General features: G+C 39.4%; 1 protein-coding gene across 11 annotated transcripts in view; it reads left to right on the forward strand.

Annotated features, from left to right (window-relative positions):
- The window catches only part of CYSLTR2 (cysteinyl leukotriene receptor 2), a 57,298-nt gene continuing 33,316 nt past the window's right edge, over positions 1,054–25,035 (forward strand). For all 11 annotated transcript variants that reach the window (NM_001308465.3, NM_001308476.3, NM_001308468.3 and 8 more), the window contains exon 1: positions 1,054–1,142. The gene's annotated coding sequence lies outside the window, so the exon portion shown is untranslated. The remainder of the gene's footprint in view (positions 1,143–25,035) is intronic.

Consider the following 25,035-nt stretch of genomic DNA (forward strand, 5'->3'; position numbering starts at 1 on the left):
TTTATTTCCAATTTGGATCCCTTTTACTTATTTTTCTTGCTTAATGTTACTGCAGCTTTCTATGCAGGAAACGAGGATTTGAACAGTGATGGAGAGATGAGTAATGGTTCGATTTGGAACATATTTTATGGGCAGAACAAATGGAACTTGTTGGCTCAGAAGTGGGTGGTGGAAGAAAGAGGGAAGTTAAAAGTGACTTCTAGGTTTATGGATGGATGAACTGGCTAAATTATTGTGGTGCCATTTGCTTAGACAGGGTAGATGGGGGGATGCAGGACTAAGAGAGGAAGAGAAAAGCTCCACCTGGGCCACATTAAATTTGGCCATGATTGTGGATCAGATAGGTAAAAGCAAGAGAAGGAGGGAAGAAGTCAGAACACAGACCTCTGGGGAAAGCTCACACGTAGAAAAGGGGTGGAAGAAGAGGCATCAGAAAGAGAGGCAAAGAAGAGCAATCTGAGGGGTAGAAAAAGAACCAGGAAAGTCAGAGAAAAAAGGGAAAAGTTTCAGGAAAGTGGCAATGGTCAACTATGCAAACAAGAGGGGAAGGAAGGTGAGGACTGAGAAAGGATTTTTTATGTAAGCAACAAGGAGGTTTTTGGTGACCTCTGACAGAACATTTTCAGCAGACTGGATAAGGTCTCTGCCTGAGTGCAAGTGAGCTGAAAATGCAAGTGAGTGAGGGAAGTGCTTTAAAAAAGTCTAAAGTGCTATGTGTGTAAGGCAATGTTGCTATTTCTGTTGCCATGGAAACAGAAACCATTTAGGAGAACTAAAAGCCACTTAAAATTCCTGACTCTAACCCATCATATCCGCTTGATCTCTTGAGAAAGATAATGACAAAAAACCAGTCATTAGAGGGGCAGGGCAATTTTAGGTTTCTTCTTTTTAGACATAGCCCCTAACTGGAAATTTTCACCCTTCTTGAGAAGGGAGCTTGCACTAACATCTACAATGGCTTCTAAAAAGCACAGATGACCTGCTACACTTCCTGACTTGCTTGCTATTGGTTGGCACTGTTCATAAATATAATTTGCTCTTTCACTTTTCTTTGAAATGAGCAACCTGAATTACTCGGAGGAGAAAGGCAGGAGAGATAGAGGCAGCAGAAGCCAGGGCAGCTGAAAGACAGAGACCTTCAGGTGGGCATTTTAATCTTTGTTTTGTTAATTCAGTGTTGAGCATCATGACTTGATGATCACATAATAGTCAGAGGAGTAATTTTTTAAAAGTAAATTTGTTTTGTTCTACTATAAATGTTATTTTCCTATCATGTACATGGTAGTTTAAAAAATACTGTGGAAGTATAAAAATGTTGAAAGAAGCCAAATTCTCCACCAAAATAGCCTCTATTGATATTTTGGGGATCGTCCCTTTGTGTGTGTGTGTGTGTGTGTGTGTGTGTGTGTGTGTGTGTGTGTGTGTGTGTGAGTGTGTGTGTGTGTGTGTGTATGCACATATAACTTTAGTTTTCATAGTTGCGTCCCTACACTATGGACAAGTTTGTATTCATTTCCTCCATATCAGTCTATGGTTTTTCCATGTTGCTGTGAATTCTTTGTAATCATAAATTAAAGCTGCTGCATATTATTGCATTGAGGAACTTTACTATACTTCCTCCATTTTTGGCTGTTATCCTCTTTTTCATAGTTTGGGTCCTTCTATTATATAAGATATATTTTTTCCATTCAGTGTCTTGTTTTAGGGGTAGAAGAAGTTAAATCTGAGCACATATATTTCAATGGTTTTGCTCAGAGGCACAATGAGAATGAAAGAGTATGTGAGATCATGAGCATATAATCTGTTCCTTACCCCACTGGGACCCTAATCAGTGTTTCTCAACCCTGGCTGCACATCTGGCCAGAATCACCCGACTCTGAGGAGATTAGAAAATTACCCCTAGAATAACTGAAGCTTAACTTTTGGAGATCAGTGAGTCATCTGCAGTATTTTATCTTGTTTTCCAGAAACTTCTCAGGTGGTTCTAATGGGTGGTCAGCATAAAAACAGATGACCTAGGTCATTCAAAATATTTTTCTGTCTCTGAAATATACCTGAGAGTAATATGTATTAGGAGAAAGGGAGGTATAATTTAAGGCAAGCCAACCAAATCTCCCTTTCAACACTACATAAATAATGCAAATTATAAAATAATTTGTGGGAAACATAAGACTTCTAGAAATTTCTATCATCTACTCAGCCACATAAACTCTTGAGATAAGAATCTACTTGTGTTTCGATTTACTAATGTTTTAAAGAGATGGATTTGTTTCCAGTGCTTCGGTGGTTAAAAGTTAGAGAAGTTGAGGCTCAAGTGTGTTCTAAATGTATCTGAATCACGCCCATATCTGCTAGAATCTACCAAGGCAGCCAGGCTTCCTTTTAAAACTCTTCAAGATTAAACACAAGGTGGGCATTTAATAGCTGGCCAGTTCACTAACACACTGTGGGCACAGCGAAGATCGATGGGATTGGATTTGGAGGCAGAAGGTGGCTCACTCTGGCTTTCAGGAGCCACATAGACATGGCATTTACCTTCTCTGGACCTCATATCCTCAGGAGGAAAGTGGATAGAGTTTATGCCAGGGCTGCGTTCTGGTTTCTCCCATCAGGGACTGAAAACAGAGCCACAGCGCCTAAACCACACTGAAGCATTTGCTGTTGCACTCAGCCTGCTACAGGCTAGGAATCATCCCAATGAGACCAACAGCATGTTAATCTAATTTCTTCTTGTTTTGACTCAGTGGAGAACACCTGTTTAGTACCTTCTTTAATGAATGTAAACATTCACATAGTACTTTACTATTTACAAAACATGTTTACAGGCATCAGTTCATTTGATCCACATACTAGCCTTAAGAACTGGAGGATGTAATTCTTATTTTAAAGATGGTAAAGATGAGACCAAGAGAACATAGGATCTTTCCCAGGTGGAACCAGAACTGGTCCAATCTGGTTGAGCCCAGGGCACATGGTCCTTTCTTACAACTTAAATAATAGCTATTGTGGGAAATTGGTTAAACAAATTTCATAATGTTTATATAATTGGCTATTCTGTATCCAGTTAAATGATGACATTGATGTTGTTAGTTGGCAAAGAAAGGTGATCATGACACGAAATAAGAAAAAAGCAAGATACAAACAGCATTATAAGTGTGCTCATTTTTGTTCAAAAATATTTGTATATATTTCAAGAAAGATAAAAAAACCATATATGCAAAATTTTAGCTATGTCTGGTTGGTGGTAAAGTTCATTATTTAAGTTTATTTCAGCTTGTATTACATTGTAATTTTTTTTTACCATGAATGTGTACTACTTGTGTAATAAAAATAAATAGAATTGTTCATGTGTTTCTGGTTGGCTCTTCTCCAGATGAAATGGCCCCATCTTCTTTCACTTGACCATAAAGAAGGCTCCTGTTTAATTATCTGAGTTTTGTACATTATTGTCACAAATCTTATTGTGATTGTTAGCTAGTACTGACTGAACTCTTCACATGTGTTGGGCACCAAGTTAATCACTTAACATCCATTTTTTTTTCATCAATACTCACTCCAGTGCTCCTTTGGCAGATGAGAGTTTGAAGCTCAGACGGCTGCAGTAATAAAAGAGACTAAAAGGCAGAGTTGAAACTTAAACCCAGGTCCCTTTTAACTCAAAAGCACATGCTTTCATTCATTATATCACTCTGCCTCCTATCCACCTGGGATCACATGAGCAGCCTCCATTTTGGAGGAAAGATGATATATTTTTTCAGTGTACTCATTGCTGTGTACATGAGTACATGATGGTTACCTTGGGCATCGTTAGCATTTCCTGTGTACTCCAGAATCAAAGATCCTTTCTGCTTTTCTATAGTTTGCTCTGTGCACCAGATATCTGAGGCACTCTAGTTCCCCAAGGGTAAGCCTTTAAGATAAAAGCCTCACAAGGGATTGTGCAATTACCCAATGAACTCTGGCTAATGCGGCAGCCAAATTGGATAATACAAAGAAAGGCAAGCATTTTGCTGTGGGTGCTCAGCGTTGCTAGAGAGCTTTTTGAAATCCATGTCAGAAACCCCTAGCACTGTATTTCTTTATTTCTCAGGGTATTGGCCACTGCCTCCTTTGTACTGCAGTTACTTATGTACAGTATGTTCTATTGGACCAAGACTCTGACATTGGAGTCATTGCATAGAACCTAGCACATAAACTCCATTGAGAATAAAGGCATTGTGTAAATAAATCAATTCACCCAATGAATGCAGACTTTATTAGTTACAGCTAATGTTTATCTCTGTTGAACTTTATTAACCTCTTTATATTAATTGACCCATGGAGAAAATATAATCTTGACAGAATTTAAAGGAAAACCTCTTCCAATGGATTGATGACTTTGTGGCAGTACAGTCAGTCTTTTGACAAAGAAATCTAGTTATTATTCGAGAGGCCCAGGATAAGGGTCTAAGCAGTGAGTTGGAGTCAAGAAATTCCAAAGTCGGAAGGGTCCTTAGGAAGAGCTGGGACCAGAGGCAGAGTTTTTTTTGCCTCTTTAGTGTAAAGTCCTTAACGGAGAGGTTTCAAAAAAGTACAGGAAGCAGACTATAGAAAGAACAGAAGAAAGGAGAGAAAGGAGGGAAGTAGAGGAGAGGGGAGAGGAGGGAAAGAGATGGAAAAGGAGAGAGGAAAAGAGGGGAAGGGAGCTGGTTTACTCTGGAAGTTTAAATATTAATTAAGCTGGGAGAAATTAAAATAATTTAGTCCACCATTATTACCTACATTGTACATTATATAAATAAGAATTTATTATAAAAAAGATAATTTCCCACGTAAGTCTCCTGCCATGAGGCTGTAGAAACAGCATCGTACCTTGTTTGTACCTCTAGTACAGAAAAACAATCATCTAAAGAGTATTTGAAGGCATCCTAGATTCTTTTTTCTCTTTTGTCAAATTATTATTTTTAAAGTATTTTAAATTTGTATAAATTTATGGATTACACATGCAATTTTATTAGACGTATAGATTGCATAAATTGTGTAGTGGTCAAGTCAAGGCTTTTAGGGTAACCATCACCTGAATAACATTGTATCCCAGATTCTTTTAAGTAAGCTGGTTTCTCTTTATTTTGAGTCTTACCTTAAAAATAAGGTAAATTCGCTGAGAGATATGTAAATCTCTTGTAAATTCACTGTTCCTTTGTAAATTCACTGAGAGATATGAAGGTGACTCCCTTTTAGTTGTAAGAGGCACAAATCCCTATTGGGAACTTGTTGGCACAGAGTCAGAGAAACAGTCTGCTACCCTCCAAGATATAAAGGGTGCTGCTTCCTACAGTGTTTAGAACAGAGCACCATCTGGGTACCCTCTGTGGCTGCCTTCTGCTCCCATGCCATGCCATTGACCATTTACCCTATATTCCTCTTCCCAGACTTTAGATTTGAATTTCAGGAAAAGAAAATTTTCAAGGAAAAACACATTAACATCATTTCATTATAAAAACCATGTGAGTTCTTTCCCGCCCCCCAAAAAGATATTAATTGTAAGGCATAAAATGAGGGTGTTGGATAACAGCTTCATTAGCTCATTTATTGATCTGAGCACATTCATGTGCTTCACGCTGTGCTAGGGCCTGGGGTACAGCAGTAGACACGTGCTTGCCTTCCATGGGCAAACAGTCTGGTGGGTAGGGATAGACAGGAGACAACTGCTGCCCCTGGAGTAAATGCTGGATGGGAAACCCAAGGGTCTGCAAACAGCCAAGACATGGAGGGATCAGAGAAGACTTTTTCTGAAGAAAGTGATGTTTAGAAAGAAACCTGAGACTGGGTAAGCAATAGCCAGGAAATGAGCTGGAGCTCAGAAGAAATGGGCAAGAGAGAGCCTGCAGTGTTGGGGGTTTTGAAATAAGCTTCATGAGACTGAGTGTCCTTTACTGAGGGGATGGTGGGGAGAGAATATGCTGGACAACAAGATCAATACTATGAAAAGCCTGGAGATGAACTTGACTCTGAGATGATAATGGGTTTTAAGTGGAAGAGTAATGTGGTCAGATATGCATTTTGGAAAGGTCACTCTGGCCACTGTGTGAAAAATGAATTGAGAACAGCCAGAGTGGAGATAGGGAGCCATTGAGGAGGCTGTGCCCATTGTGCAGGTGAAAGATGACAGCCTGTACTAGGCCGGTCTTGAGCTGACCACTGAGATGAAAGGAGGAAGTTGATGGAGGCTGCTGGGTAAACAGGCCAGGTCTGCCACAGAGGAGACACTGGGCAGCAGGACAAGCAGGAGAGGAGGAGAGCCCATGGTTTACTTTTGCTCCTGGCCCTCTCTCCTTTAGATTTCAGATACCCACTGCCCCCATGCCACTGGCAGCAGGTGGGGTGGCAACAGGAATGACAATGCATGGTGCCAGGCAAAGTGTAGCTGCATCCCTGGCTGTCACCTGTGCTGCCTCCTGGGGTCCTCTCAATAACTCTGAGATGTTGAGTACTTTCTGATGGTCACACAGTTTGCACAAGGAAGAGCTAGGATTTGGGTTCAGTTGGGATTTATTCCAGAGGTTTTCCATGATATCGCAATGTCTCTATGTCATTTTAGGAAATACACATGATGTTTAACAAACTACCTTTGTAAATAATTTCTTTTCTCTAAGAATTGAATTTAATAATGGAATATGAAATGCTGTCTAGGGGAAATGAGAATGAGAGGGAGTTTTAATTTGAATAAATGGGCTTGTGAGGAGCTCCTGAGTCATGTCATTTAGTTACCTTGATTATGGACAGGGAGGACCCTAATGTTGATCAATCCGTAGGGATTTATTGGAATAAACAGGACAATGTTTCTATGATAACACTTGCTGTTCTTCTGTCTTGGAAATCAGAGACTCAGATAAAAAACAATTCTGTGATTCTGTGGTCTTCCTTAGATCAGACATTTGGTGAATAATAGATACCGCCAACCTTTCTAAATACAAGGATGAAGTGCATTAGAAAATGAAAAACATATTGTTGAGATTTTTACGAAAATTAAATTCATAATCAGCATCATAGACTCATGTGTTATATTAACCAAGGAGAGCTGAGGAAAGTTTTGAGAGCCAGAGAGAGGGCAACATTTAGTCAAAATAATGTTTTTAAACAAAATGAAGCCATATCTCTAAGCAGCTCAGGGCTCTTCATATATGATGTTTTTGTTGAGTTGAATTTTTGTTTGTTTATTTGGTGGCTGAATGTTAGTGGTAGGATGAATGTGCAAGAGAAGCTAGCTTTTGGAGTCTATTAAAGAAGGAAACAAGGAGAATTAGTAAAGACAGAGGTGGGAAGAAGGAGGTCTGAGGTAATGCTGTACATCTTGTTCTTGAGGGCAGAGGTGTCCCCTGGCATGTTTGGATGCCAAACTTCTGCTAGGTTTCAATCCCTGCTACATCCCTGGGGATAAGTTGTTCTCTGGGAGATAACAGTAGATCTGCCAGAAAACTCTTCACCAATGGCCCAAAGTGCTGACTTCATGGTTAAGTGGCATGTGGAAATAAATGGCATTCAGAAAGCAAAGGGTCACCAGCCTGGTGGCCAATGAAGTGACTCATACTTTGGGGGCTCCTTGAGGCACTTTGTGGGTGACCGGGTAGAGGAAAAATCAGTGCAGCAAAATTCTCCAAGGCACTGAGTCCATGAAAACAAGGCCCTGTGAGATTCATTCCCCTCCATCCCACTTCCTCTGGAAGCTCAGAGACCAGCTCCGTTTCACATTCAAAATATGTCACAATTTCAGTTCCTTTTATCTGTGTTTCTGTTTTGATCTCCAAGAACTTAATTCACCTTGACTTTTTGAAAAAAAAATTCTGAAAGCACAAGACCGTTCTTGGAAGGCCAGGAAGGTCTAGAAAGCTTGGCATTTCTGACATGACATTTGGAGCCTGTTACAAATAAACTCTGAGTTGTCAGCTTGGGTCTCAAGAGTAAACTCTCAGTGATACTTCCCTGTTCTGGAGGGCCGTGTTAATTCAGCACTCTGAGGCCTCTGGGATTTTGAGGAACAAATGTGTTGCAGAATCCTCTCTGCACAACTTCAGAGAGCTTATTCTGTCAGCCTTTGCAATAACAACAGCTAACACTTAATATGGCACTTTCTCTGGTCCAGGCCCTGACCTAAGTGCCATTCATGTATTATCTCACTTCATCCTTACAACCCTATGAAGTAAGAACTATTATTAGCATTACCCCTTTCTTTTATTTATTTATTTAAATTAATCTTTTTTTTTAATTTTTCTTTTTTATTGAGACAGTGTCTTGCTCTATTGCCCAGGCTGCTCTTGAATTCCTGGGCTCAAGCGATCTTCCTGCCTCAGCCTCCCAAAGTGCTAGGATTACAGACATGAGCCACTTTGCCTGGCCGCATTACCCCCTTTTACTGATAAGGAGCTGACGCCGAGGGAGATAAAGTCATTTTCCCATGGTCATAGAGGTAGTCCGTGAACAAATCAGGATTTAAATCCTGAGGTTGCTGCTCTGTTACTGCTTCCCTGCAGCTGAGAGCAACACCTGTCATGCTTCTCACCATTTTTTATCATTAAATCATTTCTCAGCCTTGTTTTTATATATTTACTAGTGCCCTGCAAAAATTTTGCCTCCTTAATGCTTGTTCTAGGTCCCAATTCTGAGGTTTAATAATAATAGTTAACATCACTGAGCGCTCACCCTGTATGAGACAACTCACATTTATTATGCCATTTATAGATGGCATAACTGAGGCTCAGAGAAGATAGGTCACTTCTGCAAAATCTCACAGCCAGTAAGTGGCAGATGTGGCCTGCTACCTTACACCAACTGTCTCCTGTGAACACTTCTATTTATTTTAATTTATTTGTCAAATTGACAAATAATAATTGCATATTCATGGGGTATATATTGATGTTTCTATACATGTAATGTATATTGATCAGATCAGGGTAATTAGCATATCCATCATCTCAAATATTTATCATTTCCTTTTGTTGGGATCGTTCAATATCCTCCTTTGAACTAGTTGAAACTATTTAATACATTATTGTTAATTAGAGCCATCTTACAGTGGTATAGAACATTAGAACTTATTCCTCTCATCTAGTGGTAATTTTGTATCCTTTACCAAATCTCTCCCTTTCCCCCACTCTTCCAGGCCTCTGGTTTCCTCTGTTCTACTTTTTACTTCTATGAGATCAACTTTTTTTACTATTCCACATATGAGTGAGAACATATGGTGTTTGACTTTCTGTTTCTGGTTTAGGAAATACAATGGACTTAACATAATGTCCTCCATTTCCACCCTTGTTGCCACAGATGACAAGATTTCATTCCATTTTATGGCTGAATAGTATTCCATTATGTATATATACCACATTTTCTTTATCCATTCATCTGTTGTTGAACACTTAGGTTGATTCCATAACTTGGCTATTGTGAATAGTGCTGCAGTAAACATGTCAGTGCAGACATCTCTTAGGCAAACTGGTTTCAAAGCTTTTGGGCAAGTACCCACAAGTGAGACTGATGGATCATATGGTAATTCTACTTTTAGTTTCTTGAGGAACCTCCATATAGTTCTCCATGGTGGCTATACTACTTTACAGTCCCACCAACAACACATGAGTTCCCTTTACTCCACATCCTTGCCAACATTTGTTTTTTCATCTTTTTGATAATAGCCATCCTAACTGGGGTGAGATGATACCTCATCGTGGTTTTGAGTTGCAAAATCATCACTGATGATTAGTGATGTTGAACATTTTTTCATATACCTGTTGACCATTTGAATGTCTTCTTTGTGAAATGTCTGTTTAAATCATTTACCCATTTTAAAATTGAATATTTTGCTGTTGAGATGTTTGAGTACCTTGTATATTCTGAATATTAGTCACCTGTCAGATTAGTAGCTTGCAAATATTTTCTCAAATTCTGTAGGTTATCTTTTCACTCTGTTGATTGCTTCCTTTGCTGTGCAGAAACTTTCTAGTTTGATAATCCCATTTGTTTATTTTTGCTTTTGTTGCCTGTGCTTTTGAGGTTTTATTCACAAAATCATTTCCCAGACCAGTGTTCTGAAATGTGTGTCCCATGTTTCCTTCTAGTAGTTTTTATCATTTTGGGTCTTATATTTAAGTCTTTGATCCATTTTGAGTTAAATTTTGTAGAGTGAGAGGTTTGGGCCTAGTTTCATTCTTCTATAGACATCCAGTTTGCCCAGAACCATTTATTCAGGAGACTGTCTTTTCCCCAATGAGTATTCTTGGCACCTTTGTCAAAAATCAGTTTGCTGTAGATATTTGGATTAATTTCTGGATTCTCTATTCTGTTCCATTGGCCTATGTGTCTGCTTTTGTTAGTAACATGCTATTTTGGTTACTATAACTCTGTAGTGTATTTTGAGGTTTGGTGGTGTGATACTTCCAGCTTTGTTCTTTTTGCTCAGGTTTGCTTTAGCTATTTGGGTTCTTTTGTGGCTCCATACAAAGTTTAGAACTTTTTTCTATTTATGTGAAGAATGTCATGGGTATTTTGATAGGAATTGCATTGAATCTGTAGGTTGCTTTGAATAGTGTTGTCATTTTGACAATATTAGTTCTCCTCCATGAGCATGGGTTGTCTTTCCATTTGTTTGTATCCTCTTCCATTTATTTCATCAGTGTCTTGTAGTTTTCCTTGTAGAGGTCTTTCACCTCCTTGGTTACATTTCTTCCTAAGGTTGTTTTTTGTTTGTTTGTAGCTGTTGTAATGGGATTGCCCTCTTGATATTTTTTTTCCAGCTAGTTCATTGTTTGTGTAGAAAACACTACTGATGTTTGTATATTAATTTTGTTTCCTGCAACTTTATTGAATGATTTATTAGTTCTAAGAGTTTTTGGTAGAGTCTTTCTATATATGAGATTATCATCTGTAAACAGGAACAATTTGACTTCTTTCTCTTGAATATGAATGCCATTTATTTATTTCTCTTGCCTAATGACTCTGACTAGGATTTCCAGTGCTATATTGAATAAGAGTGGTGAGAGTAAGCATCATTGTCTGTCCCTGTTCTTGGAAGAAAAACTTCCAACTTTTTCTAATTTAGTAAGATGTTTGCTGTGAGTTTGTCACATGTGGCCTTTGTTATATTGAAGTACTTTCCTTCTATACCTAATTGTAAGAAGTTTCTATCATGAAGTGAGCTTAAATTTTATCAAAAGATTTTTCTGCATCTATTGAGGATCATATGGCTTTTGTCTTTCACTCTATTGATGTGATGTATGATGTTTATTTATTTGCATATGTCGAACCATCCTTGCATCCTGAGATAAATCCCACTTGATCATGGTGTATTGTGTTTTTGATATGTTGTTTGATTTGGTTTGCTAGTATTTTGTTTGGCATTTTTGCTTCTATACGTATCAGGGATATTAGCCTGTAGTTTTTTTTGTTGTTGTTGTTATGTCCCTATTCAGTTTTGGTATCAGGGTTATGCTGGCTTCATAGAATGAATTAGGAAGAATTAATTCCTTCTGCTTCAATTTTTTGGAATAGTTTTAGATGAACCGATATGAATTCTTCTTTAAAGATTCAGTAAAATTCATCAGTGAAGCCATCTGGTGTTTCTTTTTGGGAGACTCTTTATTACTGATTCAATCTTATTATATGTTTTTGGCTTATCCAGGTTCTGTTTTCTTCATGGTTCAATCTTGGTAGGTTGTATGTGTCTAGGAATTTACCCATTTCCTGTAGGTTTCAAATATATTGGCATATAATTGTTCATGGTAGTATGGTAGTCTCTAATGATCCTTTGTATTTCTGTGGGATCTGATGTGATGTTTCCTTTTTCATTTCTGATTTTATTTATTTGGTTCTTCTCTCTTTTTTTCTTAGTTTAGCTAGTGGTTTGTCCATTTTGTTTACCTTTTCAAAAAACCAGCTGTTCACCTTTTGTATTTTTTTAAGTATCAATTTTATATTTCTATTCTGCTCTTTATTACTTCTTCTACTAATTTTGGGCTTAGTTTGCTCTTGCTTTTCTAGTTCCTTGAGGGGCATTTTTAGGTTGCTTATTTGAAATCTTTTTAATTTCTAATGTAGGCATTTATTGCTATAAGCTTGCCTCTTAACACTGCTTTTGCTGTGCCCCATAGTTTTTGGTATATTGTGTTTCTATTTTAGTTTGTTTCAAGGAATTTTAAAATTATATTCTTAATTTCTTTCTTTACCCATTGGTTATTCAGAAGCATGTTGCTTAATTTCCATGTATTTGTATAGTTTTGAATGTTCCCCTTGTTATTGCTATCTATTTTTGTTCCCTTGTGGTCAAATAAGTTACTCGGTATGATTTTGATTCTTAAAAAAATTTTTTTGAGACTTGTTTTGTGTCCTAATATATTGTAAATCATGGAGAATGTTTCACACGCTGATGAAAAATAAATATGTATTCTGCAGCTGTTGGGTGAAATGTTCTGTAAATGTCTGTTAGGTCCATCTGGTGTATGGGGCCATTTAAATCTGATGTTTCTTTGTTGATTTCCTGATTAGATGATCTGTCCAGTGCCAAGAATTGGCTGCTGAGTCCCCAGATATTGTTGTATTGGGATCTATCTCTTCCTTTAGATTTAATATTTGCTTTATATATTTGGGTGGTCTAGTGTTGGGTGCATATATACTTACAACTGTTATTTTTTGGTGAATTCATCTTTCTATTATTATATAATGTCCTTCTTTTCTCTTTTTACAGCTTAACCCAAAGTCTGTTTTGTCTGATATAAGCATAGCTATTCCTGCTCACTTTTGATTTCCATTTGCATGGAATATCTTTTTTCGTCCCTTCACATTTAGTCTATGTATATCTTTACAGGTTAGGTGATTTTCTTATAGGCAGCATATAGTTAGGTCTTGTGTTTTTAAAATCTATTAGGCCAGTCTATATCTTTTAAATGGGGAATTTAATCCATTTACATTCAAGGTTATTATTTCTTGGGAGGTGAGGACTTACTTCTATCATTGTATTGATTCTTTTCTGCTTGTTTTGTGTATCTTTTGTTCCTTACTTCTTTTCTTATTGTTTATCTTTGCAATTGAATGGTTTCCTGTGGTGATAAGGCTTGATTCCTTTCTGATTCTCCTTTGTGTATCAGCTCTACTAGTAAGTTTTATAGTTTCGCATGTTTTCATGAAAATGGTTATCATCTTTTCACTTCCAGATATGACTCCTTTGAGCATTTCTTTTAAGGCTGGTCTAGTGGTGATACATTCTCTTAATTTTTGCTTGTCTGGGAAAGATTTTATCTCCTCTTCATTTCGGAAGGATAGCTTTGCTTGGTATAATATTCTTCATGGACAGGTTTTTTCTTTTGGTATGTTGAATTTATCATCCCAATTCTCTCTTGACCTCTAAGGTTTCTGCTGGGAAATCCACCCTTAGGCCAATGAAGATTCCCTTATATGTGGCTTGATGCTCTTCTCTTGCTGCTTTTAAAATTTTTTCTTGTCTTTGACTTTTGACAGTGTAAGTGTAATGTGACTTGGGGAGGATCTTTTTGCATTGAATCTATTTGGAAATTTTTTAGCTTCTTGGACCTGGATGCCCATCTCTCTCTCAAGACTTGGGAAGTTCTCTGCTATCATTTTATTAAATATATTTTCCTACACTTTTCTCCTCTCTTTGCCTTCTGAAACACCCATAATATGAGCATTTCTTTCCTGAACTGTGTCCGATAAATCCTGTAAGCTTTTTTCGTTCTCTTTTATGCCTTTTTTGTTTGTCTGCCTGTGTTATTTCAAAAGACCTGTCTTCGTGCTTAGAAATTCTTTCTTCTTGGCCAGTCTGTTGTTGAAGCTCTCTATTATATTTTTATTTCATTCAATGAATTCTTCATCTCTAGGATTTCTTTTTGGTTCTTTTTTATGATAACTATCTTTTTTTGTTGAATTTCTCATTCAAATTATGAATCATTTTCCTGATTTCATTGAATTGTCTATCTGTATTCTCTTATATCTCACTGAGTCACCTTCAGATTATTATTTTGAGTTCCTTTATTTGCATTTCATGTATTTCCCTATGATTTGGGTCTGTTACTAGAATTATTATTTTCCTTATGGGGTGTCATGTTTCCATGCTTTTAAATATTTGATGTGTTCCTATGTTGATTTCTACACATCTGGTGGAAAAGTTGTCTCTTTCAATTTTATGGAGTAGGTTTCACAGGGCAAAGCTTATTCATATAAATGTGTCCTGGAGTATCAGTTCAGTGAGGTGAGCAGACCTTGGTTCTACGTAGACATTTTAGTGTAGTCTTCATGTGGTTTCTTTGGCTGTAATCCACATTAGTGGCATTTGCAAGTCTCTCAGTGGCCTAGGCTGTAAGAATTTGTAGTGATAGCCAGATGTGGGCTTCCTGGGCTGTTTCTCAGGTAAAGGGAATGTGTGTACACATGATGGGTCAACGAACTATGGGTTAAGTTTGCTAGGGTTAAGGCCATGGGGCTGTTACCCTGGCTGGGAGTATGTCAATGCGGTTGCTCAGTCAGCCTGGGGGGTGGAGGGCATGCCTGCCAGGAGTGGCTTGCAGGGATATTTCTCAGTCTCAGGATGCAGGTACATAGCTGCTTGGATGGCCTGAGGGAACATCTGCTGGGGCAACCCATTAGGCTGTTTCTCTGGCTCAGAACGTCTGCTTGGCTTGCCTGGGGACATGCCTTCCAGGGGTGCCCCACAGGGCTGTTTTTCAGGACTGTTATATGGGTGCACAATTGCAAAGCTAGCCTAAGACTGGTTTGCTGGGCATGACCTATGGGGATGTTTCTCAGGGCCAAGACTCAACTGCACAGCTGCTCACTTGGCCTGGGAGCATGTTTCCTGTGAACATTTCTATGATTTATAAAAAGCATCCTATTTGCCCTTGCACAGTATGTGCTAGCTCTTGGAGCTAACATTCAAGACAATCTCTAAAGTTATTAGATAAACATACAGTACTATTGTGGGAAGAGCTGCAGATTGCAGGGTGGGGTATTAAAGTAGGAGCCTCTTAGTGTGGAGAATTAAAAACCGCAACAGAGTGGTTAGATGAAAGTGAGGAGAAGAGGAAGCCTAATGTGGCTGCAAATTTGCCTAGACCATCAAATCCTATGGTTCCATGTCTAATACTTGTGCTTTAAGAGCACATTGCAGTAACACTTGTTTGCCTAGTGATGATGTTTACCAAGTTCCCTCAAATATGTGCTTGTCAGAATAGGGTATGCAAAATCAGTAGAAGACTGTCCATTCCCCATGAAAATCTGATTATCTGGAGAGGCAGACATGATGTGTCTGCCTGACATATATCCCCCAAAGAGCAAGGAGAACTAATTTTAGGCTGCAGTAGTTTTTATACAAGTGCCATAGGGATAAAAAAAAAAAAGAGAGACCCACGGGAAATGTCAGTTGCTAAGGTGATCTGCAGAAGGCAATGTAGATGTTGAAGAAGGTTATTTGGATTGGCAAGAGTTAGGCACATTGCAGGTTGAGGAAGAGGGGGGAATAGGAAGAGGGGCAGGTTAGAGATCAGAGAGAGTGGCGTGAAAGGCACAGGAATAGGCATAAAGAAGTGCAAACCCAGGTCTTGGCTACCTGGTCTTGAAGAACAGTAAAATAATAACAATAATACCAGTTTCATAGTTTCAAAGTGTCTTTACATGCATTACTATATTTGCTTCTCTTGGAGCCCTCATCAGATATGGGGTTGGGGGGCATCATTATCCTCATTTTATTTTATTTTTATTTACTTATTTTTTTATTATACTTTAAGTTCTGGGATACATGTGCAGAATGTACAGGTTTGATACATAGGTATATATGTGCCATGGTGGTTTGCTGCACCCATCAACCTGTCATCTACATTAGGAATTTCTCCTAATGCTATCCCTCCCCTTGTCCCCCAACCCCCGACAGGCTCTGATGTGTGATGTTCCCACTCCCCTGTGTCCATGTGTTCCCATTGTTCAACTCCCACTTCTGAGTGAGAACATGCGGTGTTTGGTTTTCTGTTCCTGTATTAGTTTGCTGAGAATGATAGTTTCCAGCTTCATCTATCTCCCTGCAAAGGACATGAACTCATTCTTTTTTATGGCTGCGTAGTATTCCATAGTGTACATGTGTCACATTTTCTTTATCCAGTCTATCATTGATGGGCATTTGGGTTTGTTCCAAGTCTTTCCTATTGTGAAAAATGCTGCAATAAACATGTGTGTGAATGTGTCTTTATAGTAGAATAATTTATAATCCCTTGGGTATATACCCCGTAATGGGATTACTGGGTCAAATTGTATTTCTGGTTCTATATACTTGAGGAATCGCCACACTGTCTTCCACAATGGTTAAACTAATTTTCACTCCCACCAACAGTGTAAGAGCATTCCTATTTCTCCACATCCTCTCCAGCATCTGTTGTTTCCTGACTTTTTTTTTTTTAATTTAAGTTCAGGGATACATGTGCAGAACGTGCAGATTTTTTACAAAGGCATACACATGCCATGATTGTTTGCTGCACTCATCAACCCATCCTCTACATTAGGTATTTCTCCTAATGCTATCCCTCCCCTAGCCTCCCACCCCCTGAAAGGCCCCAGTGTGTGATGTTCCCCTCCCTGTGTCCATGTGTTCTCATTGTTCAACTCCCACTTATGAGTGAGAACATAATGGTGTTTGATTTTCTGTTCCTGTGTTAGTCTGCTGAGAATGATGGTTTCCAGCTTCATCCATGTCCCTGCAAAGGACATGAACTCATTATTTTTTATGGCTGCATAGTATTCCATGGTGTATATGTACCACGTTTTCTTTATCCAGTCTATCATTGATGGGCTTTTGGGTTGGTTCCAAGTCTTTGCTATTGTGAATAAGCTGCAATAAACATACATGTGTATGTGTCTTTATAGTACAATGATTTATAATCCTTTGGGTATATACCCAGTAATGGGATTGCTGGATTGAATGGTATTTCTGGTTCTAGATCCTTGAGGAGTTGCCACAGTGTCTTCCACAATGGTTGAACTAATTTACACTCCCACCAACAGTGTAAAAGCATTCCTATTTCTCCATATCCTCTCCAGCATCTGTTGCTTCCTGACTTTTCAATGATCGCCATTCTAACTGGCGTGAGATAGTATCTCATTGTGGTTTTGATTTGCATTTCTCTAATGACCAGTGATGATGAGCTTTTCTTCATATGTTTGTTGGCCGCATAAATATCTTCTTTTGAGAAGTGTCTGTTCATATGCTTTGCCCACTTTTTGATGGGGTTTTTTGTTTTTTCTTGTAAACTTGTTTAAGTTCCTTGTAGATTCTGGATATTAGCCCTTTGTCAGATGGATAAATTGCAAAAATTTTCTCCCATTCTGTAGGTTGCCTGTTCACTCTGAAGATAGTTTCTTTTGCTGTGCAGAAGCTCTTTAGTTTAATTAGATCCCATTTGTCAATTTTGGCTTTTGTTGCCATTGCTTTTGGTGTTTTAGTCATGAAGTCTTTGTCCATGCCTATGTCCTGAATGATATAGCCTAGGTTTTCCTTTAGGGTTTTTATGGTTTTAGGTCTTATGTTTAAGTTTTTAATCTATCTTGAGTTAATTTTTGTATAAGGTGTAAGGGAGGGGCTCAGTTTCAGTTTTCTGCATATGGCTAACCAGTTTTCTCAACACTATTTATTAAATAGGAAATCCCTTCCCCATTGCTTGTTTTTGTCAGTTTTGTCAAAGATCAGATGGGAGCAGATGTGTGGTGTTATTTCTGAGGCCTATGTTCTGTTCCATTGGTCTATACATCTGTCTTGGTACCCATACCATGCTGTTTTGGTTACTGTAGCCTTGTAGTATAGTTTGAAGTCAGATAGTGTTATGCCTCCAGCTTTGTTCTTTTTGCTTAGGATTCTCTTGGCTACATAGGCTCTTTTATGGCTCCATCTGAAATTTAAAGTAGTTTTTTCTAATTATTTGAAAAAAGTCAGTGGTAGCTTGATGGGGATAGCATTGAATCTATAAATTACTTTGCGCAGTATGGCCATTCTCATGATATTGATTCTTCCTATCCATGAGCATGGAATGTTCTTCCATTTGTTTGTGTCCTCTCTTATTTCCTTGAGCAGTGGTTTGTAGTTCTCCTTGAGGAGGTCTTTCACATCTCTTGTAAGTTGTATTCCTAGGTATCTTATTCTCTTTGTAGCAATTGTGAATAGGAGTTCACTCATGATTTGGCTCTCTGTTTGTCTATTATTTGGGTGTAGGAATGCTTGTGATTTTTGCACATTGATTTGTTTCCTGAGACTTTGCTGAAGGTGCTTATCAGCTTAAAGAGTTTTTGGCTGAGATTATAGGGTTTTGTAAATATACAATCATGTCATCTGCGAACAGAAACAATTGGACTTCCTCTCTTCCTATTTGAATACACTTTGTTTCTTTCTCTTGCCTGATTGCCCTGGCCAGAATTTCCAATACTATGTTGAATAGGAGTGGTGAGAGAGGGCATCCTTGTCTTGTGTGTATTTTCAAAGGGAATGCTTCCAGCTTTTGCCCATTCAGTATGGTATTGGCTGTGGGTTTGTCATAAATAGCTCTTATTATTTTGACATATGTTCCTTCAACATCTAGTTTATTGAGTGCTTTTAGCATGAAAGGGTGTTGAATTTTATCAAAGGCCTTTTCTGCATCTATTGAGATATTCATGTGGTTTTTGTCATTGGTTCTGTTTATGTGATGAATTATGTTTATTGATTTGCGTATGTTGAACCAGCCTTGCATTCCAGGAATGAAGCCAACTTGATCGTGGTGGATAAGCTTTTTAATGTGCTGCTGAAGTTGGTTTGCCAGTGTTTTATTGAGGATTTTCACACCAATGTTCACCAGGGATATTGGCCTGAAATTTTCTTTTTTTTGTTGTGTCTCTGCCAGGTTTTAGCATCAGGATGATGCTGGACTCATAAAATGAGTTAGGGAGAGTCCTTCTTTTTCTATTTTTTGGAACAGTTTCAGAAGGTATGGTACCAGCTCCTCTTTGTACCTCTGGTAGAATTTGGCTTAGAATCCATCTGGTCCTGGATTTTTTTTTTTTGGTTCGTAGGCTATTAATTATACTGACTCAATTTCAGAACTTGTTATTGGTCTATTCAGGGATTCCACTTCTTCCTGGTTTAGTCTTGGGAGGGTGTATGTGTCCAGGAATTTATCCATTTCTTCTAGATTTTCTAGTTTATTTGCATAGAGGTGTTTTAGCATTCTCTGACGGTAGTTTGTATTTCTATGGGATCAGTGGTGATATCCTCTTTATCATTTTTTATTGTGTCTATTTGATTCTTCTGTCTTTTCTTCTTTATTTGTCTGGCTAGCAGTCTATCTATTTTGTTAATCTTTTCAAAAACGCAGCTTTTGAATTCATTTTTTAAAGGGTTTTTTGTGTCTCTATCTCTTTCAGTTCTGCTCTGATCTTAGTTATTTCTTGTCTTCTGCTGGCTTTTGAATTTGTTTGCTCTTGCTTCTCTAGTTCTTATAATTGTGATGTTAGGATTTCTATATTAGACCTGTCCTGCTTTCTCCTGTGGGCATTTAGTGCTATAAATTTCCTTCTAAACAGTGCTTTAACTGTGTCCCAGAGGTTCTGATACATTGTGTCTTTGTTCTCATTGGTTTCAAAGAATTTATTTATTTCTGCCTTAATTTCATTATTTACCCAGTAGTCATTCAGGAGCAGGTTGTTCAGTTTCCATGTAGTTGTGTGGTTTTGAGTGAGTTTCTTTTCTTTTCTTTTCTTTTTTTTTTTTTTTTTTTGAGACAGAATCTTGCTCTGTCATTCAGGTTGGACTGCAGTGGCACAATTTCAGCTCACTGCAACCTCCGCCTCCTGGGTTCATGTCATTCTCCTGCCTCAGCCTCCTAAGTAGTTGGGACTACAGACGCCTGCCACCACGCCCGGCTAATTTTATTATTTTTAGTAGAGGCGGGGTTTCACTGTGTTAGCCAGGATGGTCTTGATCTCCTGACCTTGTGATCTGCCTGCCTTGGCCTCCCAAAGTACTGGGATTACAGGCATGAGCCACTGCACCTGGCCTGGAGTGAGTTTCTCAATCCTGAGTTCTAGTAGATTGCAATGTGGTCTGAGACACAGTTTGTTATGATTTCTGTTCTTTTGCATTTGCTGAGGAGTGTTTTACTTCCAATTATGTGGTCAATTTTAGAATAAGTGCAATGTGGTGCTGAGAAGAATGTCTATTCTGTTGATTTGGGGTGGAGAGTTCTGTAGATGTCTATTAGGTCCACTTGGTCCAGAGCTGAGTTCAAGTCCTGAATATCCTTGTTAATTTTCTGTCTCATTTATCTTTCTAATATTGACAGTGGGGTGTTAAAGTCTCCCACTATTATTGTGTGGGAGTCTAAGTCTCTTTGTAGGCCTCTAAGAACTTGCTTTATGAATCCGGGTGCTCCTGTATTGGGTGCATATATATTTAGCATAGTTAGCTATTCTTGTTGCATTGATCGCTTTATCATTATGTGATTCCCTTCTTTGCCTTTTTTGATCTTTGTTGGTTTAAAGTCTGTCTTATCAGAGACTAGGATTGTAACCCCGGCTTTTTTTTTTTTTTTTTTTTTTTTTGCTTTCCATTTGCTTGGTAAATATTCCTTCATCCCTTTAGTTTGAGCCTATGTGTGTCTTTGCATATGGGACTGGTTTCCTGAATACAGCACCCCAATGGGTCTTGACTCTTTATCCAATTTGCCAGTCTTTGTCTTTTAATTGGGGCATTTAGCCCATTTACATTTAAGGTTAATATTGTTATGTGTGAATTTGATCCTGTTATTATGATGCCAGCTGGTTATTTTGCACATTAGTTGATGCAGTTTCTTTATAGTGTCGACGGTCTTTACATTTTGGTATGTTTTTGCACTAGCTGGTACCGGTTTTTCTTTTCCATATTTAGTGCTTCCTTTGGAGCTCTTGTAAGGCAGGCCTGGTGGTGACAAAATCCCTCACCATTTGCTTGTCTGTAAACGATTTTATTTCTCCTTCACCTGTGAAGCTTATTTTAGCAGGACGTGAAATTCCGGGTTGAAAATTCTTTTCTTTAAGAATGTTGAATATTGGCCCCCACTCTTTTCTGGCTTGTAGAGTTTCTGCGGAGAGATCTGCGGTTAGTCTGATGGGCTTCCCTTTGTGGGTAACCCAACCTTTCTGTCTGACTGTCCTTAACATTTTTTCCTTCACTTCAGCCCTGGTGAATCTGATGATTATGTGTCTTGGGGTTGCTCTTATTGAGGAGTATCTTAGTGGTGTTCTCTGTATTTCCTGAATTTGAATGTTGGCCTGTCTTGCTAGGGTAGGGAAGTTCTCTTGGATAATATCTGGAAGTGTGTTTCCCAACTTAGATCCATTCTCCCCGTCACTTTCAGGTACACCAATCAGATGTAGGTTTGGTCTTTTCATATAGTCACATATTTTGAGGCTTTGTTTGTTCCTTTTCATTATTTTTTCTTTAATCTTGTCTTCATGCTTTATTTCATTAAGTAGATCTTCAATCTCTGATATCCTTTCTTCCATTTGATCGATTCTGCTATTGATACTTGTATATGCTTCATAAAGTTCTCGTGCTGTGTTCTTCAGCTCCATCAGGTCTTTTATGTTCTGCTCTAAACTGGTTATTCTAGTTAGCAGTTTCTTTAACCTGTTATCAATGTTCTTAGATTTCTTGCATTGGGCTAGAACATGATCCTTTAGCTAGGAGGAGTTTGTTGTTACCCACCTTCTGAAGCCTACTTCTGTCAATTCGTCAAACCCATTCACCATTCAGTTTTGTTCCCTTGCTGGTGAGGAGCTGTGATCCTTTGGAGGTGAAGAGTCATTCTGGTTTTTGGAATTTGGGGCATTTTTGCACTGGTTTTTCCTCATCTTCATGGATTTATGTACCTTTGGTCTTTGATGCTGGTGACCTTTGGATGGGATTTTTGCACGGGCATCCTTTTTGTTAATGTTGATGTTATTACTTTCTGTTTGTTAGTTTTCCTTCTAACAGTCAGGCCTGTCTTCTGCAGGTGTGCTGGAGTTTGCTGGAGGTCTATTCCATACCCCGTTTGCCTGGGTATCACCAGCAGAGGCTGCAGAACAGCAAAGATTGCTGCCTGCTCCTTCCTCTGGAAGCTTTGTCCCAGAGGGACACCTGCCAGATGCCAGCCAGAGCTCTCCTGTATGAGGTGTCTGTTGACCCCTGCTGGGAGTGTCTCCCAGTCAGGGGGCATGGGGTTTAAGGACCCATGGGGTTCAGGGATCCACTTGAGGAGGCAGTCTGTCCCTTAGCAGAGGTCAAGTGCTGTGCTGAAAGATCCGCTGCTCTCTTCAGAGCTGGCAGGCAGGAACGTTTAAGTCTGCTGAAGTTGTGCCCACAGCCACCCCTTCCCCCAGGTGCTCTGTCCCAGAGAGATGGGAGCTTTATCTATAAGCCCCTAACAGGGGCTTCTGCCTTTCTTTCAGAGATGCCCTGCCCAGAGATGAGGAATCTAGACAGGCAGTCTGGCTATAGCAACTTTGCTGTGCTATGGTGGGCTCTGCCAGTTCGAACTTCCTGTCAGCTTTGTTTACACTGTGAGGGGAAAACTGCCTACCCAAGCCTCAGTAATGGTGGACACCCCTCCCCCATCAAGCTCACACATCTCAGGTTGACTTCAGACTGCTGCTGTGCTGGCAGCAAGAATTTCAAGCCAGTGGATCTTAGCTTGCTGGGCTTTGTGGGGGTGCATCTGCAAGTGACCTGCAAGATCACTTGGCTCCCTGGCTTCAGCCCCCTTTCCAGAAAAGTGAATGGTTCTGTCTTGCTGGCATTCCAGGCTCCACCGAGGCATAGCAAAAAACTCCTGCAGCTAGCTCAGTGTCTGCCCAAACAGCAGCCAAGTTTTGTGGTTGAAACCCAGGGCCCTGGTGGTATAGGCACCCGAGGGATTCTCCTAGTCCGCAGGTTGCAAAAACCATGGAAAAAGCATAGTATCTGGGCCAAATAGCATCATCCCCCATGGCACAGTCCCTCAAGGCTTCCCTTGGCTAGGGGAGGGAGTTCCTCAACCCCTTGCACTTCCCAGGTGAGGCGATACCCCACTCTGCTTCTGCTCACCCCCCATGGGCTGTGCCCACTGTCTAACCAGTCCCAATGAGATGAGCTGGGTACCTCAGTTGGAAATGCAGAAATCACCCACTTTCTGCATTGGTCTTACTGGGAGCTGCAAACCGGAGCTGTTCCTGTTCAGCCATCTTGCCAGTCACCCTATCCTCATTTTATAGATAAGCTTCCCTCAAAGAAGCTAAGTAATTTGTCTATCCAAGGTCACCTACTTAGAAAAGGCAGACCAGAACCCAGGTCTCTGTGCTCTTTCTGCCATCTGTTCCCTGATTGTACAGCTCCACTAGTTGGTGCTGACTCTCATATATGAGAATACAGATACGATTGGGACCAAGTGGTGGAAAGTCATATTTGTGGTTGAGGAATTTCCATTTGGTCTGATAGGCAATTACACTCTCTGAGTGAAATGAAAATTGCATTTTAATTGGTTACATCTAGCAATGATGTATAGATTTTACTGGTTAAATCTCTAAAAACAGATGATGCTATGGTTTCTAGGCATCAGCTAACAAAGTCTGAGGTTAGGAAAGTGATATTGTACATATAGAGTAGGGACAAAGTATAAGAAATATGATATAAAAACAATGGAGATAACTCAGCCAATTGATTGAATGTGAAGTATAGAAGAGAAAAGAATTAAAGAAAACTTCCCAATAGTGGTTACCAACTGAGTGAGATCAGTTTGAGGAGATGGATAAATTCAGACAGAGTTTGAGGTAGAGGCAGAATCTCCAAATAAGACTATCCTGTAGGCAACTAAAAATGTTGGAACTATAGCTCAGGTTAGAATTTAGGAAAAGCCATTTGAGCTCTCCTAGTCCCAGATTTGTTTCTTTATTTGTAAAATAGAGATAACAATGCCAATTTAGCCTGTCTCAAGGATAGCTAGTGGAGCAAATGAGATATCTGAAAAGAAAATTCTTTGCAAACTATAAGACGAAAATATGGGCTGTCAAAAGGCATATCTGGGAGGCAGAGGCAAAGAAACAGTGCAAAGTTTCCATGGTGGGTAAAGCCTTTGAGGAAATATAGGCAGAGGTGAGCCGAGGACAAAGATGGGGCTCCAGTGGGTGTCCACAATAGGGTAAAGGTGAAGTGACTGGGGGTCAGAAGGGTGAGCAGTCAGGAAATGGAAAACCATGAGGCCTCAGGGCTACAGAAGTCAGATGAGTGGAGGTTTCAAAGACATGAGAATTGAAGTCTACAGAGTGACTGAAAAGGAAGTTTGAGAAGAGAACAGTAGAACAGGCTGCTGAGCAGGAATGAATGATCTTAATCTTAGTCATGTAAAATTCTAAGGAGGGTCTCCTCTGAGGTGGAGGGCATGGGGCAGGGAAGGCATATTGCTGTAGATTAGGAAGAAGATAATGACCAAAAAACGACACCAGAGTCCTCTGGTTCAGGGTGTCTAGGTGCAAAAGAACAAGAAGAAATGGTACAGAATTTCAGTTGGTCACAGAGTTTGGTAGGAGGAATCACTAGCATTTGATGCTCAGAGAGCAAAGGTTACACAGCTACAGAGTGGGAAGGTTGAGAGTCAAGCCCGTTCTCCTGGATTTCTGGTAGACTGTACATTCTACCATACTATGGCTCAAGTGTATGATGTTCAGAGAGGAGGAGAGATGAACCGAGGAAGAAACTAAAGTTACATGAGAAAGATGCACTGAGAGTAAGAGTCAAGGTGACCCAGAGAGAAGTACACATCCTCTCTCCCTGACTCAAATTCTTTCTCCAGCAACAAACCTTTTGCAGTAGCTGCAGAACTCAAAAGCATCCTCTCTCCTTCCTGAGGTCACTGTCTCAACTGCTGCTTTTCTTTTTTTATTATTAGCTTCCTGCCTTCAGCTTTCTACACCACCCCTCTACTGATAACTTTCCTGTTACTGAATCGCCTGGTACTATTTTTTTTTTTTTTTTTTGGGACAGAGTCTCACTTCATCACC

The sequence above is a fragment of the Homo sapiens genome, chromosome 13, assembly GCF_000001405.40.
Source record: "Homo sapiens chromosome 13, GRCh38.p14 Primary Assembly".
NCBI lineage: Eukaryota > Metazoa > Chordata > Mammalia > Primates > Hominidae > Homo > Homo sapiens.